The 21,985-nt window shown below is 45.4% G+C and overlaps 1 long non-coding RNA gene across 1 annotated transcript in view; it reads right to left on the bottom strand.

Moving 5' to 3' along the window:
- Positions 1-21,985, bottom strand: part of DNAJC27-AS1 (DNAJC27 antisense RNA 1) — a 67,583-nt gene that overhangs the window by 20,527 nt on the left and 25,071 nt on the right. Inside the window, exon 2 of the long non-coding RNA NR_034113.1 lies at positions 17,623-17,753. This is a non-coding gene — a long non-coding RNA (DNAJC27 antisense RNA 1). The remainder of the gene's footprint in view (positions 1-17,622; positions 17,754-21,985) is intronic.

The raw sequence follows: 21,985 nt of genomic DNA, 5'->3' as shown, positions 1-21,985 counted from the left end.
TACAGTTAGGCAAAACCACTTAACACAAAGCCTATTTTATAATAAAGTGTTGAATATCTCATGTAATTTATCAAATACTGCACTGAAAGTGAAAACCAGAATTGCTCGCCGTTCTTCCCAGAATCTCATCATACCACATTTTGCCAGCAGAGGAAAAGATCAAAATTCAAAGAATGGTTTCTACTGAATGTGTAGAGGAATGGAATGTGTAATACAATGGAATGTGTATCGCTTTTGCACCATCGTAAAGTTGAAAAGTCCTAAGTCCAACCATCGTTAAGTCGAGGATTGCTTATAAGGTTTTAAGCAGGGAGGTAACATGATCTGGTGTTTTAAATTCAAATTTATGCACTGCTTACAGTTTCAAGGGGCAAATTGTGGCCAGTGGCTCCTGCCTATAATCCCAGCACTCTGGGAGGCTAAGGCAGGCAGATCACTTGAGTCCGTGAGTTTGAGACCAGACTGGCCAACATGGTGAAATCCTGTCTCTACTAAAAATACAAAAATTAGCCGGCATGGTGGTGCATGCCTGTAGTCCCATCTACTGGAGGGCGGGGGCCGGGGGTGGGTGTTGGAGGTGGGTGGGGGGTGTGTGGGTGGGCTGCGGGTTGACGCAGGAGAATCACTTGAACCCAGGAGGCAGAGGTTGCAGTGAGCTGAGATCGCACCACTGCACTCCAGCCTGGGTGACAGAGTAAGACTCCATCTCATTAAAAAAAAAAAAAAAAAAAAAAAAGGCAAATTGTTTCATACCCTTACTTCCTCCCCACAGCCAGCCACTTTCAAATACTTCAGCTTTTCAGTTTCAGGTATCTCAAACATGGTTTTCCAGTTTCGTCATTATCCATCCACTCCTACCACGGAGAATGAGCACTGGCCCCTTACTGCCTCTGCCCTGTTGTCACTTGCCATCCCCTTCTCTTCCCATGCTGGTCTCCAGAATTATAGTCAGTCCCACAACCCCCGGGGCCTATTCACAGTGGAGCCATGTCATGCATTGGAATCACGTTTCCTACAGAGCATTCTGTCTGGAGTTAATGACTGCTGTTTTATTGGTTGTCCACTTTTCTGTGTGCTATCACAAATTTGAGTCCCCTGTAGTTGTGTAAAGCTCCTCTTAATGTATGTTTGGTTTGTTTTGAGACAGGGTCTCAGCCTGTCGCCCAGGCTGGAGTGCAGTGGTGTGATCACAGCTTACTGGAGCCTCGACCTCCTGGGCTCAAGTGGTCCTCCTACCTTAGCCTCCTGAGTAGCTGGGACCACAGGCATGCACCCCCATGCCTGGCTAATTTTTAAAAATGTTTTGTAGAGGCCGGGCATGGTGGCCTTACAGTAGCCTACAGTTAGGCAAAACCACTTAACACAAAACCTATTTTATAATAAAGAGTTGAATATCTCATGTAATTTATCAAATATTGCACTGAAAGTGAAAACCAGTGTAATTCCAGCACTTTGGGAGGCCAAGGCAGGGTAATCACTTGAGGTCAGGAATTTGAGACCAGCCTGGCCAACATGGTGAAACCCATCTCTACTAAAAATACAAAAAAATTATCTGGGCATAGTGGCACGAGCCCGTAGTCCCAGCTACTCAGGAGGCTGAGGCAGGAGAATCACTTGAAACCAGGAGGCAGAGGTTGCAGTGAGCAGAGATCGCACCAGTGCACTCCAGCCTGGGTAACAAAGAGAGACTCTGTCTCAAAAAAATAAAATAAAATAAAGTAAAATAAAATGTTTTGTAGAGATGGGGTCTCACTATATTGCCCAGGTTGGTCTTGAACTCCTCCCACTTTGGCCTCCCAAAGTGTTGGGATTACAGGCGTGAACCACCGCTTCCAGGTCTCTCAATGTCTTCAGACACCTCAGGGATTGTATCAGTTTCCTGTTGTGGAGGAAACTCTCCTGAACCTGTTCACCTGCTCCAGTCTGGACCAGCAGCTGTGATCTTGGCATCTCCCTTGCCCATCATGCTCTCTCATGGGTTGGATTCTTGTTTCCTGAGTCCCACGTCTTCTTCCCATCTTGGTGTGCTTCTTACTTCTGAGGGCCCATGTTCTCTAGGACCATTTCGCCATCTGATTGCTAGCTTCTTCCAAGTGGGTTCTGGTAGCTTCCCCTGTTCTCTTTGTTCTTGTGACTTCACACCTTAAGAAAATTCTATTTTTTTTTTTTTTTTTTTGAGATGGAGTCTCACTCTGTTGCCCAGGCTGCAGTGCAGTGGCACAATCTCAGCTCACTGCAAGCTCCGCCTCCCAGGTTCATGCCATTCTCCTGCCTCAGCCTCCCGAGTAGCTGGGACTACAGGCGCCCGCCACCACACCTGGCTAATTTTTTTGTATTTTAGTAGAGACGGGGTTTCACCGTGTTAGCCAGGATGGTCTCGATCTCCTGACCTTGTGATCTGCCTGCCTCAGCCTCCCAAAGTGCTGGGATTACAGGCGTGAGCCACCGCGCCCAGCCAAGAAAATTCTTTATTATGGTTTCAACAGTATTAGAAGAGAACAGTGCTAAATATATGCATTTCATCAATCAACTTTAATTATAATATAATTTTCACTTTAGAATTTATCACCCTGGCTTTAGTTTGTAGTCATAGTCAGGATTGGAGTGGGACCAATACTGAAGGCTGAGACATCTACGAGATGGCTGTTTGGATAATTCCAGTAAGAGATGATGACGGCTAAGGGATGGGTTTTGGGGTGAGGAGGGAATGGACTTTCCATGGAATTGCGTGCACACCACTGCACAGCAACCGGGATCGTTTTTGGCGCTTCATAGATGGATAGATGGACAGATACTGTTACTAATTGAGTGTTTATCCTAACATGTATTAGAAAACATATAACTAGATATCAAACTTATTATTTCCCACATGGTATTATTTAAGATGAATTAGATACTTGTTCTGAAAAGAAAGTTGATTTAAAATATTTAGCACATTATATATTGGTGGCATTGTACTTAGAGACTTATCGGTAGGGGGCTGGGCTAGAAGATTGTCGGGCACACAGCATTGCCTGGGATTAGCCCTGCTGGTAACAACAGATCCTCTCCTTCACTTTACCCTCTCTCTTCAGCCCTTTCTTTACACCATGTTTGCCCCACTCTTTTCCTTCTTTGTCTTGTTTTAGAATTTTCTCACTCTGCCTACACATGAACAGCCTTCTCTCACCATCTCCTCAATACTGGCTTTTGCGGTCTTCTGTTTAATAGGAGTTTCAGAGATCCTAGTGGCATTTTTTCTTTTCTTTCTTTTCTTTTTTGAGACAGAGTCTCACTCTGTTGCCCAGGCTGGAGTTCAGTGGCATAATCTTGGCTCACTGCAAACTTCGCCTTCCAGGTTCAAGCAATTCTCCTGCCTCAGCCTCCCAAGTAGCTGGGATTATAGGCATGCACCACCACACACTAATTTTTGTATTTTTAGTAGAGATGGGGTTTCACCATGTTGGCCAGGCTGGTCTCGAACTCCTGGCCTCAAGTGATCCTCCGGCCTTGGCCTCCCAAAGTGCTGGGGTCACAGGCATGGGCCACTGCATCCAGCCCATTTTATTTTTTATTTTTTTAAGAAACATATATCCTTTTATATAAAAGCTTTAGAGTGCACCTTTGAAAAACATCAGCAAACAATTGTATGATAATTTCTGTACTTTTCTCCTCCCCGCTCCACCACTCCCCTCCCTCAAGCCCATAGGAACTCCCAGCCTCTCTAGCATCATGATGAATTCTCTTTTTTTTTTTTTTTTTTTTTTTTTTTTTTGAGATGGAGTTTTGATCTTGTTGCTCAGGCTGGAGTGCAATGGTGCGATCTTGGCTCACCACAACCTTCCCCTCCCGGGTTCAAGCAATTCTCCCACTTCACCCTCCCGAGTAGCTGGGACTACAGGCATGTGCCACCACGCCCGGCTAATTTTCTATTTTTAATAGAGACAGGGTTTCTCCATGTTGGTCAGGCTGGTCTCCAGCTCCCGACCTCAGTGATCCACCCGCCTTAGCCTCCCAAAGTGCTAGGATTACAGGTGTGAGCCACCGTGCCTGGCCGAATCATGATGAATTCTCATCCTGGGTCATGTTACTTACACTTTGGTGGAATTTAGAACAGGGAGCTCACTTCCAGTAACAATAACCCCCTGTATTCCAACTGTGCACAGCTGAGCAGAATGGCCTGAGCCTGTAAATGTGGCTCAGCAGCCATGTGAACACCCTTCCCTGCCACTATCATCCAGCCATCTCACCTCCATCTTCCAGCCAGGACTGTAGAAGAGGGGCTGTAGCGCAAGCATAGCAAGTGCAGCCCAACAGATACGCAGAGAGATAAGCAGTATGCACACATGCACAGACATGCACGTGCACAAGCAACTCCCGCCCCAAATGGTCATACTCGAGATGACCATGAAGATAACCTTCAGTTATCTTGCACCTCTTGCCTCAAGCCAGGGAAGCGTGTGATGCGTTCAGGCCCAGGATAATGGAAGAAAGACAACTGTGTGATCACAGTGGCCCAGAGCAAGCATGTTTAAGTCAAGGAAACACGCGGTCCTTGTCTTCCCTGTGACCTATGGGCAGCTCTGGGAATAATCAGTTCTGGTCCCTAACCACATGGTTGAAAGGACAGCCAGAGATTTAATTCTGAGATATTACAATGATTATTTTGGAACAAAGAATAAAGTGGAAAAGGAGGATACTGATAGCAGTGTCCCTGGAGACTGACAACCCAGCTCTCGCCATACTCCCCACAGAGGAGGTCATTTCCTAGGATATCCCAGTCCCCATTTCAACCATGAGCCAAGGCTATTTTCTTATGCTGAGACCACAGGATTCAGGTACTAGGTTTTTTGCATTGGTGATGTGGGAGTTTCCAAGGGCTGCAGAAATTCTTGGAAAAGAGTCCATGAGTGAGTCCCGTTACACTCCCTTTATAACATCTAAAACTACATCATAAAAAATAATGCAATGGAACAAAGTTTAAAGAGAAGGGCACAGGCTAGGTGTGGTGGCTCACGCCTGTAATCCCAGCACTTTAGGAGGCCAAGGCGGGCGGATCACAAGTTCAGGAGATCGAGACCATCCTGGCCAACATGGTGAAACTCAGTCTCTACTGAAAATACAAAAATTAGCTGGGCATGGTGGCATGTGCCTGTAATCCCAGCTACTTGGGAGGCTGAGGCAGGAGAATCACTTGAACCTGGGAGGCGGAGGTTGCAGTGAGTCGAGATCACGCCACTGCACTCCAGCCTGGCGACAGAGTGAGACTCCATCTCAAAAAATATAAAAAAAGGGCACAGAATATGAAAATGATTCATGACAAGTATAACTCATAAAAGCTTAGATTCCGGTCAGGCGCGGTGGCTTGTGGCTGTAATCCCAGCACTTTGGGAGGCCGAGGCGGGTGGATCACGAGGTCAGGAGTTCAAGGCCAGCCTGGCCAAGATGGTGAAACCCCATCTCTACAAAAAAATACAAAAAAAATTAGCCGGGCATGGTGGCGGGCACATGTAATCCCAGCTACTCCAGAGGCTGAGGCAGAGAATTGCTTGAATCCGGGAGGTGGAGGTTGCAGTGAGCTGAGATCACGCCACTGCACTCCAGCCTGGGCCACAGAGCAAGACTCCATCTCAAAAAAAAAAAAAAAAAAAAAGAGAGAAAAAAAGCTGAGATTCCTAAAAAATCTAGATTTAATAAAAATGTATATGGTTAATCCTTAGCTTCTACTTGGCAAACAGCCAGAGTGTAAAAAAATAAGAATAGACAATTTTATACACAGGAAAATAGAAGCCATAACCTAAACCATTGATAGAAATTAGACAAACAAACAGCTTAGCAGTTCTGTTATCTACCTCTTATTATTATACATGAGCAAAGTGTATAACAATAAAAGCCAGCATCGATGGGACTCAAAGAATCCAAAAGGAAAAAGAATATTTTGCACAATGATGCATTCATAATATTACTTATGATGTTTCAAATAATTCAAAGACAACCCCAAAAGCTCTCACAATAAAATAATTGTGTAAACAATGAAGTACTGATACAACGAGATGCTATGCAGTCATTAAAAACAATAACTGTGGCCGGGCGCGGTGGCTCACGCCTGTAATCCCAGCAGTTTGGGAGGCTGAGGTGGGCAGATCATGGGGTCAGGAGATCGAGACCATCCTGGCTAACACGGTGAAACCCCGTCTCTACTAAAAATACAAAAAATACAAAAAAAAAAAAAAATTAGCCAGGCGTGGTGGCAGGTGCCTGTAGTCCCAGCTACTCAGGAAGCTGAGGCAGGAGAATGGCGTGAACCCGGGAGGCGGAGCTTGCAGTGAGCCGAGATTGCGCCCCTGCACTCCAGCCTGGGTTACAGAGCAAGACTCTGTCTCAAAAAAAAAAAAAAAAATAATAATAATAAGTGCGATGGTCACTGAAATGTGTATATTTGGAAAGAATGCAGAGAGACAGAGAGTATGTAGGCAATGGTTTCAATTGAATGTCTCCAAGCTAATGAGGGTTAAAAGTGATTTCAGAGAGATGCACCTAGTTTATGGGATTTCCTTTCCTGTAAAGTTAAGTGTGTAATAAAAATGTAAGTGTATATAGACATATATCATATAAAAGAGGTGGTGGAGAGTAATTTCTTCTTTCTCCTTACTTCCCGGGAGAGCCATGAGGATGAATTAAGTGGTTTGAAATTTTCGGATCAAAATATGAGACTCTAGAATGAGCAAATGGTTTAGGTTCTTCCTTGGAGACATTTAAGAATATCCATCTGTCAAGTGTTAGGATGTTTTTGAATTAATATAATGACATTAGAAAATGCTCTTCATTAGTGCTGGTTTTGATTTTAAAATGACTCTAGGATGCATTCCCCCCATGATGTCTGTCTGTCTGTCCCTCCACTTAGACACACATATACCCATTACATTAACATTAGCCTTTGCTATTTGGCATTAGTAACAAAGGAAGAGAAAAAATTCCCAAAGTAGTTACCATGCCTCACTCAACACCCATCCGATTTAATTCATTTTTTTTACTCTCCCCACTTGCCTCTCCCCTACCACCCACTCACTGCATACACACCCTACAAATGCCACTATCACCCAGATGTATTTCTATGGATCCACCATTAACAATGTAGTATCATAAACTAAGACATTGTACTATATTTCTTCCCCTCATTTTTTCTGTGTCCTGGTATTTCCCCAATAGTATTGATGATGTAACAGGCCAGCCTTACATCAAAACAAGAGAAGGTGGGAAAAGAGTTGCCCAGTTATTTGGAAAATTCTCTTGTTTTTTTTTTTTTTCTAATTGCAGTCTCGCTTTGTCACCCAGGCTAGAGTGCAGTGACACGATCACAGCTCACTGTGATCCTCAACCTCCTGGGCACAAGTGTTACTCTCATCTCATCTCAGCCTCCTGACTAGCTGCGACCACAGGTACCACCACCACACCCAGCTAATTTTTAACATTGTAGAGACGGGGTCTTGACATGTTGCCCAGGCTGGTCTCAAACTCCTGGGCTCAAGTGATCCTCCCACCTTGGCCTCCCAAAGTGCTGGGATTACAGGCCTGAGACACCATGCCTGGCCTGGAAAATGTCTTTTCTCTCTTTCTTTCTTCCTTTCTTTTTCTTTCTTTCTTTCCTTCCTTCCTTCCTTCTTATCTTTCTTTCTTTCTCTCTCTCTCTCTCTTTCTCTCTTTCTCTCTCTCTCTTTCTCTTTCTTTATCTCCCCCTCTTTCTTTTTACAGAGTCTTGCTCTGTTGCCCAAGCTGGAGTGCAGTGGTGCGATCTTGGCTCACTCCAACCTCTGCCTCCTGGGTTCAAGTGATTCTCATGGCTCAGCCACCTGAGTAGCTGGAATTACAGGCACTCGCAACCACGCCTGGCCAGTTTTTGTACTTTTAGTAGATATGGGTTTTTGCCATGTTGGCTAGGCTGGTCTTGAACTCCTGTCCTCAAGTGATCTGCCCATCTAGCCTCCTGAAGTGCTGGGATTACAGGCGTGAGCCACCATGCCTGGCCTGGCCTGGAAATTTTCTTATATGAAAATACTGAATATTTTAATTATATGGAAAAAGATATGATAAAGAAACACATTTTAGCATTACATTTCTTGGGTATATAATGTAATATACATGGAGGGCTGTTAAAATGCCATAATGATATTCCAAGCTTGTAAAATTCTGAAAAAGAAATTATAGAATGGGAGTCTGTTCCATTCCCTCCCAAGAGAGTGTGCAACATATATTATTAAATGAAAAAAAAGAATACAAAATTATGTATATGATAAGAGATGAACTATGCAACACACACACACACACCATTCAGAAAAAAATTTAATAGTGGCTATTGGCAAATTGGAATTGTGAGTAACTTAAATTTTCTTTTACAAGGCCAGGCACTATAGCTCACGCCTGTAATCCCAGCACTTTGGGAGGCCGAGGTGGGCACATCACCTGAGATCAGGAGTTCGAGATCAGCCTGGCCAACATGGCGAAACCCCATCTCTACTGAAAATACAACACACACAAAAAAAATTAGCCAGATGTGTTGGCATGCGCCTGTAGTCCCAGCTACTTGGAAGGCTGAGACAGGAGAATCACTGGGACCCGGGAGGCGGAGGTTGCAGTGAGCTGAGACTGCAGCACTGCACTTCAGCCTGGGCAACAGAGCGAGATTCCATCTCAAAAAAAAAAAAAGTTTTATTTTACAGAGTTTCCCAAATGTTATAGATTTTCTACCATAAGTATGTGTTAGCTTCATAACAAAGAGAAAGTCAGATGTGTTATTAATAGAAAGCAACATCCAAGAGTCCAGGAAGAAACCTCGTCACTAAATCTAGGGCAGACACCATGAGGAAGTGGCAATTATTACAGCTCCCCCGTAAAGCGCAGCGTTTAGTGAAGACCTTGTTTAGTCAAGGACAGGCTCTCATGAGAGGGTGGCCAAGATGGTTGGAGAAATAAATCAAGACAGCGAGAATGAAATGGCAGACGCGGCAACATCTCATTAACACTTAGCTCAGATGACTCAGTAACGTCAATAAGGAAGGGTGACTACAACTGTGTACTTGTGAAAGATAGAACAGGGCCTCGGGGAACGTGTGCTCCAATCTTCTCATTTTTCAGAGGAAGAGCCCCAGAAGAGCTCACCTCACTCACAGCTGCTCAGTGGTAGAGCCGGGATCAGAACTCCAGCATCCTGATTCCGGATTCAGCACTGTTCACAGCTCTCTGCTTGGTGTGGTAAGGTAAGTATTTATGGTGATTTTTGGTGATTTATGGTTGATTTATGGTGATTTTTGTCACGGTTTGCATTAGGAAAGTATGTCATATAATCTATGTCTGGGACTGGAACCCCTCTGACTGGGCTTGTTTCCCTAACTTCACGCTAGCTGAATCCCCATATATTATTCCACATCAGGACAGATTCCCAATATTCCTGTATTTCTCTTAATTCCAACTTCTTCCCTACAATGAACCGAACCTAATGTTTGTGTCTCTCTAAAATTCATATATAAAATTTTTTTTTTTTTTTGAGACAGAGTTTCACTCTTGTCCCCCATGCTGGAGTGCAATGGCGTGATCTCGGCTCACTGGCTCACTGCAACCTCTACCTCCTGGGTTCAAGCGATTCTCATGCCTCAGCCTCCCGAGTGGCTGGGACTACAGCAGCGCACTACCATGCTTGGCTAATTTTTGTATTTTTAGTAGAGACGGGGTTTCATCATGTTGGCCAAGCTGGTCTTGAACTCCTGACCTCAAGTGACCCGCCTGCCTCGGCCACCCAAAGTGCTAGGATTACAAGTGTGAGCCACCACGTCCAGCCTTTTTTTTTTTTTTTTTCTTTTTTAGATAGAGTCTCTGTCGCCCAGGCTGGAGTGCAGTGGCGTGATCTCAGCTCACAGCCACCTCTGCCACCTGGGTTCAAGTGATTCTCATGCCTCAGCCACCTAAGTAGCTGGGACCACAGGCACCCAACACCATGCCCGGCTAATTTTTATATTTTTAGTAGAGACAGGATTACACTATGTTGGCCAGGCTGGTCTTGCAAGTGATCCACCTGCCTCAGCCTCCCAAAGTGCTGGGATTACAGGCATGAGCCACCACGCCCGGCCTCATATATAAAATTCTAACCCCCAATGTGACACTATTAGGAGGTGGGGCCTTTGGGAGGTAATTAGGTTATGAGACTGGAGCCCTCATAAATGGGATTAGTACCTTATAAAAGAGACTCCAGGCTGGGCCAAGAGCAGTGGTGTTTACACCTAATTGATAACAACTAGTTTCAGACTTCTTTGTTCCTTCTCCACTCCCACTGCTTCACTTGACTAGCCTTAAAAACAAAAAAGAAAAGAGAGAGAAAGCAGGCCGGGTGTGGGGGCTGACGCCTGTAATCCCAGCACTTTGGGAGGCCAAGGTGGGCAGACTGCTTGAGTCCAGGAGTTAGAGACCAGCCTGGGCAACATAGTGAGACTCCATCTCTACAGAAAATACTAAAATTACCCAGGCAAGGTGGAGCACACCTGTATTCCCAGCTACTCGGGAGGTGGGAGGATTGCTTGAGCCCAGGAAGTTAAGGTTACAGCAAACCAGGATCACTCCACTGCACTCCATCCAGCCTGGACGAGAGAGTGAGACCCTCTCTCAAAAAAAAAAAAAAAAAAGAAAAAAAGAAAAAAGAGAGAGAGAGGGATCCCAGAGAGCTCTCTAGCCCTCTTTCTGCCATGTGAGGATACAACCAGAAGTCAGCAGTCTGCAACCCTGAGGACAGTCCTCACCAGAACCTAACCATGCTGGTGCTCTGATCTCAGACTTCCAACATCCAGGACGGTGAGAAGTACATTTCTGTCGTTTATAAGTACCCAGGGTGGGGTACTTTGTTACGGCAGCCTAGGACACTCCCCCAAACCACTGCCACTGTCTTGGGTCAAACTGCCATTAATTCCTCTCCTTCTCCTACTTCCGCTTCTTATTGTCATTCTTTTTCATGGTGTTTAAACTACCAAAAAAACACAAAAACCCTGAAAGAATCATATAAGAATTCCCATGATCCTTCATGCAAACAGAAACATTGTTAAAATTTTGCCACATTGGTAAGAACACCCCTAGCTGTCATATATATGATAGTTTCCATATATCATATATATGTAAAAGCATCCCTATGTCATGTAGGTACATAAGAACACGCATATTTTCCTGAGTCATTTGGACGTAGGTTGGCGACATCATTACACTTCACCCCTCAATGCTGCAGCATCACCTAAGCATAAAGTCATTCTCCTACATAACCATGATATCATTATCAAACCTAAGAAAACCAGTACCCCATATTGAGTTCAAACTCAACTGTCCCCAACTATTCCCTAGTGTCCTTCATGTGGTTTTTATTGTTTTTTGTTTTTTGTTTTGAGACAGTGCTGGGATTACAGGCGTCAGCCACTGTGCCCAGCCATCTTTCAGGCAGCTTTAAGTGTCAGGATCTCATTAGGGGTTAAATATTTTATGTGGTGGTTGGTTCTCCTTCTTTTGATTTAGAACATTCTCCTCCCATTTTGTTTTTATTTTTGTTTTTTATGACACTGAGTTTTTGAACAGTTCCAGCCTGTTTTCCTACGTAACCTCCCACATTCTGGATTTGTCTAGTTGTTTCCTCATTATTAGATTCAGGTTGAAGCTCTTTGGAAAGAATACTGTACAGGAGATGTTACCCATCGCTTATCACATCCCTTGGAAGGTCCACAACGTCAGGTTGTCCCACTATGTGGAGCCTGATCTCTTGCTTAAGATGATGGCCACCAGATCTTTCCACTGCAAAGGTACAGTTTCCACCGTGTAGTTAATAATCCATGGAATGGCCAGGCGCGGTGGCTCATGCCTGTAATCCCAGCACTTTGGGAGGCCGAGGCGAGTGGATCACCTGAGGTTAGGAGTTCGAGACCAGCCTGACCAACATGGTGAAACCCCATCTGTACTAAAAATACAAAATTTTGTATTTTGTCATTAATCCTTGGGCGTGGTGGCACATGCCTGTAATCCCAGCTACTCAGGAGGCTGAGACAGGAGAATCACTTGAACCCGGGAGGTGGAGGTTGCAGTGAGCCGAGATCTCGCCATTACACTCCAGCCTAGGCAACAAAAGCAAAACTCCATCTCAAATAATAATAATAATCCATGAAATGAAAGGATAAATGCTTGAGGGGATAGATACCCATTTTCCATGATGCGATTATTATGCATTGCATGCCTGTGTCAAAACATCTCCCATACCCCATAAATATATACACCTACTATGTACCCAGAAAAATTAAAAATAAACTTTTTTCTTTTTGAGACAGAGTCTTATTCTGTTGCCCAGGCTGGAGTGCAGTGGCGCAATCTTGGCTCACTGCAACCTCCACCTCCCAGGTTCAAGTGATTTTCCTGCCTCAGTCTTCTAAGTAGCTGAGATACAGGCTTGCGCCACCACACCTGGCCAATTTTTTTGTATTTTTAGTAGAGACCCAGTTTTGCCGTGTTGGTCAGGCTGGTCTTGAACTCCTGACCTCAAATGATCCACCCACCTCAGCCTCCCAAAGTGCTAGGATTACAGGGGTAAAGCCACTGTACTTGGCCAAAAAAAATAAAAAATTATTTTAAAAAATCTGTGGAGTGACTCTTTAAAACCACGTGAATATCTTAGCATCTGCTGATAATCTGGATCCTTGCCTGAATTGGGGTTGCAGAACGGTGACTTTTCTAATTATCTATTTTATCAGCTGACATTGCCTGCACAGAAGGAGTCCCCACCACGTCTCGAGTGCCTTCCCACGGCAGTCCCCTGACTCTCCTTCCTGCCTCCAGTCTGGCTCACTCCACTCACATGCTGCCAGAATGAGCATGCTCTATTGCAAATCTGGACACGTCCATGCCCCTGTTCGAAATCAGGGGCAAGCTGAAATCTATGCTTGACCCAGGGCCCTTTGTGATCTGTCTCCTGCCTACCGCTTTGGGTTCATCTCTCCCTGTACCCACTCATGTACTCCATTCAAACTACAGACATGTGCTGCAGAATGACTTTTTGGTAAACAACAGACCTCATATACAACAGTGGTCTCATAAGATTAAAATACTGCATTTTTTTTTTTTTTTTTTTTTTTGAGATGGAGTCTCACTCTGTGGCCCAGGCTGGAGTGCTGTGGTGCGATCTCGGCTCACTGCAAGCTCCACCTCCCAGGTTCATGCCATTCTCCTACCTCAGCCTCCCAAGTAGCTGGGACTACAGGAGCCCGCCACTACGCCCGGCTAATTTTTTGTATTTTTTAGTAGAGACGGGGTTTCACCGTGTTAGCCAGGATGGTCTCGATCTCTTGGCCTCGTGATCCACCCGCCTCGGCCTCCCAAAGTGCTGGGATTACAGGCGGGAGCCACCGCACCCGGCCCAAAATACTGCATTTTTACTATGCCTTTCCTATGTTTAGAGGTTTAGATACACAAACTCTTACGGTTGCATTCCAGTTGCCTGCAGTATTCAGTGCAGGAACATGCTGTACGGGCGCATAGCCTAGGAGCAATAGGCTCTACCATATAGTCAAGGTACATAGCAGGCTATGCCATTTAGATGTGTGTAAGTACTCTATGATGTTCGCACAAGGGTAAAATTGCCTAACAATGCATTTCTCACAACATAACCCTGTTGTTAAGTGATGCATGTCAGTATTTACGGTTCTCCAAATACACCACCCTACTCCACACCCTGTACCTCTGCACAAACTAGCCCCTCTGCCTGCAAGATCCTTCCCCACCATCCAATCTCATCTGACTCCCACTTGTTTTTCAAGCTCTGGCTTACAAATCGCTTCCTCTGAGCCCAAGGTTGAGTTGGTGCCTTTTGGGGGCTCTCATGATAACTGTGCATACTTCTGTCATTGCAACTGTGGCCTTAAACTTTATTTGTATTGATTGATTGATTGATTAATTGATTTTTGAGACAGGGTCTTGCTCTGCCGCCCAGGCTGAGTGCAGTGGCGCAGTCACAGCTCACTGCAGCCTCAACCTCCTGGGCTCAAGGGATCTTTCTGCCTCAGCCTCCTGAGTAGCTGGGACTACAGGTGCACACCACCATGCCAGGCTAATTTTTTTTTTTTTTTTTTTTTTGAGACGGAGTCTCGCTCTGTCGCCCAGGCCAGACTGCGGACTGCAGTGGCGCAATCTCGGCTCACTGCAAGCTCCGCTTCCTGGGTTCACGCCATTCTCCTGCCTCAGCCTCCCGAGTAGCTGGGACTACAGGCGCCCGCCACCGCGCCCGGCTAATTTTTTTGTATTTTTAGTAGAGACGGGGTTTCACCTTGTTAGCCAGGATGGTCTCGATCTCCTGACCTCATGATCCACCCGCCTCGGCCTCCCAAAGTGCTGGGATTACAGGCGTGAGCCACCGCGCCCGGCCCTAATTTTTAAATTTTGCAGAAACAGGGACTCCCTATGTTTCCCAGGTTGGTCTTAAACTCCTGGGCTCAAGTGATCCTCCTGCCTCAGCCTCCCAAGGTGCCGGGATTACAGGTGTGAGCCACTGCGCCCAGCCAAGTCCTGCACTTTAAATGTTTGTTAGTTTGCTTGTCTCTCTCACTTGATTGTAAGGTTTTTATGGGAAGAAAGCTGTCTTTTATCTTTGTATAACAGGAATCTAGAGCTATGTCTGGCATTAAGTAAGCACTTAGCAAATATTTTCCAATGAATTCATTCATGTTTCCTCAAATTATTAGAGAATGTGACTAGCTTCTGGAACAAATAGATTATATGATCTTTAAGGACAAAAAACATGTCTTATAAATCTTGGTATTGCTCATATCTCCCACCCTATTGCTGGTTAATTTGCATTAGTAATGAGTAAGTTGACACTTATAAAAGTGTATAGTTATATTACTTTTTATCTGCCTAGTATATTTTCCTTTTGAGAATTTCTCCTCCTCTACCTAACAAGGTGGCTAATTCCTTGCCTGGTCTTCCCCACACATGTTGGGGTCATAATGTGAGCTAGCCAATTAGAGGACTTCATCCTCCTGGCTGCAATGATTGGTTCAGGCAAGGACACCTTACCCAGGCCAGGCCTGTCAGAGTCCTCCCTGGTACTTCTGATGGAGCTGACGGGAAAGACACGCAGGGAAAACAATGTAATACTCATCGCTGCCCAAGGCCATCTGCCACTCAGCAGAGAGTTCCTACCTGAGAAAAAAGCCAATGTTAAGACAAACAAGTCAACCGAGGGAGAGAGATGGAACTAATGACTTTATTTATTTATTAATATTTATTTTTTGAAACAGAGTCTTACTCTGTCACTCAGGCTGGAATGCAGTGGCATGATCTCAACTCACTGCAACCTCCACCTCCTGGGTTCAGGCGATTCTCCTTCCTCAGCCTCCCCAATAGCTGAGATTACAGGTGCTTGCCACCACACCCAGCTAATTTTTGTATTTTCAGTAGAGACGGGGTTTCACCATGTTGGCCAGGCCGCTCTCAAACTCCTGACCTCAAATGATCTGCCCACCTTGGCCTCCCAAAGTGCTGGGATTACAGGCGTGAGCCACCACACCGGGCTTTAATGATATTATTTAAATCCCTAAACCCAGTCACATCGGAAGAGTCATGTTTTAAACTTCCCGGTACTGGAGTCAACGAATCCCTTCCTTCTTGCCTTGGAAGCTGACAAAATCCTGACTAATATTCAAGATATGCATTCTACAACATTCCACATTTGGCTAAGCAGGCAAATTGAGATGGGGAAGAATTTCACCTCCATGTAGTCCTTTGCTGCTTTTTGAGAAATGATGTAGAGACAGCTGTCTCAGCACCAGTCAGGAAGAGGGCTTTCATTTGGGCTGCCTCTCATCTGCCTCAGAAGGAACAGGTATATTTGGGGGCCCCATTCTCATGCTCCTGTCCCCTAAGTCTCTTCCAAAGGAGCAAAGCACACCAAGAAAACATGCCACACGTGAAAGACTGGCCTCATCTTCATTATTTCTGTTCCAGGAGGTTATTGAATCCCTCCTCCTCACAAATGGCCAACTTGTGTTCTTCTGAGGTCAGCAACAATCTGCTTTGCTCCTGGCAGCTCTCAATTTCCAGGGATATGAGGGGGTTGGGGTGGAGAGCTAAGGACCAGGACTGCCTCCCAAGACAGGATGTGGATATCTGCCCAAGGACCCTAGGAGTTAAAAATGTCAAGTACGGATTGGGCACGGTGCCTCACACCTGTAATCCCAGCACTTTGGGAGGTCGAGGTGGGTGGATCACCTGAGGTCAGGAGTTCGAGACCAGCCTAGCCAACATGATGAAACCCTGTCTCTACTAAAAATACAAATACATTAGCTGGGTGTGGTGGCACGCACCTGTAATCCCAGCTACTCAGGAGGCTGAGGCAGGAGAATCACTTGAACCCAGGAGGCAGAGGTTGCAGTGAGCCGAGATCGTACCATGGCACTCCAGCCTGGGCGACAGAGTGAGACTCTGTCTAAAAAAAAAAAAAAAAAAAAGGCAAGTGCATTTTAGAGAACCAATATTGAGGACATTTTCCATCTTTCATCTTAAATTTCTGGAAAATTTCTCAGAGGCATGAGAGGAAGAAAGCAAGCCCTGCCTTCTTTAAAGCAGCCTACAGAGCTCATAGACTACAGGCAAGGGAGAGAGGAGCATCTTGGTTTAAAGATGATTCCGTCATGTCAGCCCACTTGGGTATCCTGTGTGGCTGTTTTCAGGAGTAAGGGGAAATAGCCAAGCTCTTTAAGAAGAGCATTTTCATGGTTTTAATTTGAATTAGCTTAACTAGATGCTTTTCTCCTAACTACTAGCTAAGATAAACTGCACCCTCCAGGGAACCAGAGTTGTGATGAAGTGCAGAAGAAGGAGAAAGGAAAGTAATCTTACAGCATGAACTCCTGCCCCAGAGGCCTGGGTGGGGCGTTTCTGGATAGAGCACATAATCCCCCAGACAGAAATAAATTGGAAGAAGAGAAGAACAACAGGAAGGGATGAGAGAGAGGCACAGAAAAAAAAAGGACACTCAAGATCAACTATAATATAATTACTTGGCATCTTCACTCAAGGGTAGAGGTGTGGGTTTTCCCCAAGTTTTCCCTTTCTAGAGATGCCAAGGTGAAAACTGAGTCCCTCTTGGCTGGGCCCAGTGGCTCACGCCTGCAATCCCAACACTTTGGGAGGCCGAGGCGGGCAGATCACTTGAGGTCAGGAGTTTGAGACCAGCCTGGCCAACATGGTGAAACACCATCTCTACTAAAACGACAAAAATTAGCTGGGCATGGTGGTGGGCGCCTGTAGTTCCAGCTACACAGGAGGCTGAGGTGGCAGGATGGTTTGAACCTGGGAGGAGGAGGTTATAGTGAGCCAAAATCGTGCCACTGCACTCCAGCCTGGGTGACGTCAGAGCAAGACTCCATCTCACACACAAAAAGAATCCATTATTTCACGTTTTTGAGTTTGGAGAAGGGTAGACAGTGGTTTCCACCTTCATTCCCTGGGAATCTGTGCCAACCTTGAACTTTAATTTTTCTGACCCTTGCTACCAAACTTCATCCCTAGGGAGGAGGCAGAACACTGGCTCAGAACAATGACGGGAGATGAAGAAGAACAGAGCTTCTCTCTTCAAACCTGTTTCCATGGTCCACCCCACAGCTGCAGCTACACGTCCCGCAGTTCAAGGAAGCCATATCCTTCCGGGCATTTTCAGCTTTTGCGTCCCCCTTTTCAACAGGACAGGTGTCCCGGTTCTCACACGGACTCTAAGTTGAAAAGATAAGAAAGGAGACTTACCATAAGTTTCAAAAAAACCCAGTGCCTTGGTTTGAAACAGCCTGGTAAAATGAAGGAAGGAAGGACTTCCTCCTTGGCTGCAGGACTGGATTCTGAGAGCACCCTCTCTTTCTCTGAGTCCCCTGGTTTATATAATTTGAATAACTAGGGATTCCAGAGCATTACCTCATAGCAAATGCTAGGAAGCATCAGAATACTGTTTGCCTAGAGGGAGTGGGAGGAGGGATGAGAACCAAGGTAGAGGAGAGAGAAGGGAGGTTAAAGCCTGGTCCCAGGTGCAGCTGCAGGTGGGGGGACTCACTCTGTGTCATGCCTATCCCTAGTGACACCCCAGGGAGATGACCAGCTTAATAGCTGCACTCTGGGTCCCATTCAGTCAGAGGTTTCTCCTCAGAGACCAGGCAGGCACATTGAGCCCTATCTGCCACTCCATCTGTGCCCCTGTTGAGTCCCCAGACGGCAACACTCCCTCTCCACCTTCTCCACCTCCCCTGCACAGCCTCCGTCAATGTCCAGTACTGATTCTCCTGTATCCCTTCTGTCTCTAGGGCTGTCATTGCCCTTGGTCTCAGCAAAAATTCTGGAGGTGCATCGGCTGTGCCAGCAGCCCTGGTCTCCCTGCAGCCTCCCAGATGCCCACAGAAAGCCCAGGGAAGGCTGATCCTGCATCCCTGACTAATGATCACGCCTTCAAGACGGGATGCAGCCTGTGACTCAAACTGTGGAGGCTCAGCAAATGCAAGAGAGTGGGAGGGAGAAGAGAGGAACACGGAGGAAAACAAAGATGAAGAGGGGGAGTAGGCAGAGAAAAAGCAAGGGAAGAAAGGCCTCAGATTCTTGAAATCTGCAAAGCTGCCCTCCCCACTGTGGCCTCTGCAGTGATTAAAATGGTGAGATACACATCTTCTACAACAGTCCTGCAGTCTTGTTGGATATTACTCCAAGGGAAGAGAGGATGAAAGTTAGACGAGGATGTGAGCGTACTTGCAGCTACTGAAACTTGCAGTACAGTATCATGTATACTGCATATCCAAATTCAGATTTATATAGACAGTGAACTCTTAAGGACAAGAACCATGGCTCTTTTCACGCTAGAGAGGTAATAATATATGCCAAAACTGTTTTAGTTTGGTCCTGTTCCAAGAAAATGAGCCTGGCCAGGAAGGATATTTAAAGACAAGTGAGGTTCACTCTTTCCACAGGAAGTTGTTATGTCCATGGGAGGTAGTTATGACATATGTTATATGTGACGGTTTATAATAACAAACTCTATTATAAAAAGAGATTTGCTTTGTTTGTGCAGTATATATGGACACATAGGGGTTTGTATGTACAGACTATAGGTCTACAGCTATATTTAAAAGTTCATGTGGCTGGGCACAGTGGCTCACACCTGTAATCCCAGCACTTTGGGAGGCCGAGGTAGGCGGATAACCTGAGGTCAGGAGTTCAACACCAGCCTGGTCAACATGCTGAAACCCTGTCTCTACTAAAAATACAAAAATCAGCCAGGCATGGTAGTGGACACCTATAATCCCAGCTATTTGGGAGGCTGAGGCAGGAGAATCGCTTGAACCCAGGAGGTGGAGGTTGCAGTGAGCCGAGATTGCGCCACTGTACTCCAGTCTGGGTGACAGAGTGAGACTCCATCTCAAAAATAAATTAAGAAAAAAAAAGTTCATTTAATGTTCCAAGACAAGGGTTCTAATCCTATAAAACCCACCATTAGCTTTTTAAAAAAGTATTTCTAATTTGCTGAAATGCAATTCACAAGTGATATAGCCTTTATAATCACACGATTTCTTAAAATTCTTATTTACCTGTGATATAAAAGAGAAATAAGGCCGGGCATGGTGACTTACACCTGTAATCCCAGCACTTTGGGAGGCCGAGGTGGGCGGATCACCTGAGGTCAGGAGTTCGAGACCAGCCTGGTCAACATGGTGAAACCCCGTCTCTACTAAAAATTCAAAAATTAGCCGGGCGTGGTGGCACTCACCAGTAATTCCAGCTACTCAGGAGGGTGAGGCAGGAGAATCGCTTGAACCCAAGAGGTGGAGGTTGCAGTGAGCCAAGATTGCGCCATTGCACTCCAGCCTGGGCAACAGAGCATGACTCAGTCTCAAAAAAATAAATAAAGTAAAGATAGAGAAATAAAGAATAATAATTTATAATGAAATCAATTGTATTTTAATACATAAAGGCTAAGGTCCAGCTAAACTAGAAGACATAATAAGCAGGCAGATGCTTGTGCCTACTTGTAATGAATAAGTTTGGATTTCAGAAAAGTAAGATATTTATTTATTTATTTATTTTTTGAGACAGGGTCTCACTCTGTTGCCCATGCTGGAGTGCAGTGGAGTGATCTCGGCTCACTACAATCTCTGCCTCCCGGGCTCAAGCGATTTTTGTGCCTCAGCCTCCCGAGTAGCTGAGATTACAGGCACCTGCCACCACCTGGCTAATTTTTATATTTTTAGTAGAGATGGGGTTTCACCATGTTGGCCAGGCTGGTCTTGAACTCCTGGCCTCAAGTCATCACCTTCCTCAGCCTCCCAAACTGCTGAGATTACAGGCATAAGCCACCATGCCTGGCCTCATCATTTATCTTTGTATTTAACATTTAGAAATAAAGGTTAAGGTGGGGTGCAGTGGCTCGCACCTGTAATCCCAGCACTTTGGGAGGCTGAGGTGGGAGGATCACTTGAGGATAGGAATTTGAGACCAATCTGGGCAACATAGCAAGACCCCATCTCTATAATAAATAAAAAAATTAGCAGGGTGTGGTGGCGTGCCCCTATAGTTCAGCTACGTGGGAGGCAGAGGTGGGAGGATGGCTTGAGTGTTACTGAACTCCAGCCTGGGAAAGAGTGAGACCTTGTCTCAAAAAAAAAAAAAAAGAAAAAAAGAAGAAGAAGAAAGAAAAAGAAAAAGACAATATGTAGATGAATGTGTATGGCTGTGTTTCAATAAAACTACTTACAAACACAGGCTAGATTTGGCCCATAAGCCGTAGTTGCTGTGCTCAGTCCTAGTCTTTAAGATTCATACAGTCAGGGTGTGTGCCTTGTTTAGAATTAATCTTCAGCACCTAATACAATACCTGTCAAGTAAGTAGGTTTGCTGAATAAATGAATGTATGAGTGAATGAATCAAATGCTTTGTTATCCAACATGGAGCTATGCCTTTAAAGAGTACCTTGGTGACATTCTCTCCGGCCTATGCATAAAGCCATGTCTACTTCCATACTCCTGGACTTTGCTTTTTTAAACCACACAACCACTTCTATTCTTTTTTTTTTTTTTTTTTTGAGACGGAGTCTCATTCTGTTGCTCAGGCTGGAGTGCAGTGGTGCAATCTCGGCTCACTGCAACCTCCACCTCCTGGGTTCAAGTGATTCTCCTGCCTCAGCCTCCTGAGTAGCTGGGACTACAGGCATGCACCACCAGGTCTGGCTAATTTTTGTATTTTTAGTAGAGATGGGGTTTCAGCATGTTGGCCAGGCTGGTGTTGAACTCCTGACCTCAAGTGATCCTCCTGCTTTGGCCTCCCAAAGTGTTGGGATTACAGGCGTGAGCCATCACACCCAGCCCACTCGTATTCTTTATTTCAATCCAGTCTCTCATTCTCCAAGAACAATGAACCCACTTGCCCATTTACTGCACTACTGTTACACTGTCACCTTTCAGGAGCCTAGTGTGACCCAAAGGGAGGCCTGAGCTCCATGGTCCCATGTATCTGCATGATGTCACAGTCAAATAAACAGTGGTCACCAACAAGAAGTATTTAAAAAGATTTCCAGGCTGGGCACAGTGGCTCACGCCTGTAATCCCAGCACTTTGGGAGGCCGAGGCAGGTGAATCACCTGAGGTCAGGAGTTCAAGGCCGGCCTGGCCAACATGGTGAAACCCCGGCTCTACTAAAAATAAAAAAAATAGACGGGCTTGGTGGCCCACGCCTGTAATCCTGAGGTAGGAGAATCACTTGACCCGGGAGGCAGAGGTTGCAGTGAGCCGAGATTGTGCCACTGCACTGCAGCCTGGGCAGCAGAGACTCCATATCAAAAAAAATAAAATAAAAGGAATTCCAATTCTATTTATATACTTCAGAGTCTATTAATAAAAACCTATCCATGACTCACAGTAACACCTCATAGAGATCTCCTTTCCCCCATTCCTCTCGATCTTGGTGTCTCTTTCTC

This window comes from Homo sapiens, chromosome 2, assembly GCF_000001405.40.
Source record: "Homo sapiens chromosome 2, GRCh38.p14 Primary Assembly".
Classification (NCBI taxonomy): Eukaryota; Metazoa; Chordata; class Mammalia; order Primates; family Hominidae; genus Homo; species Homo sapiens.
This window is presented reverse-complemented; position numbering and strand designations above follow the sequence as displayed.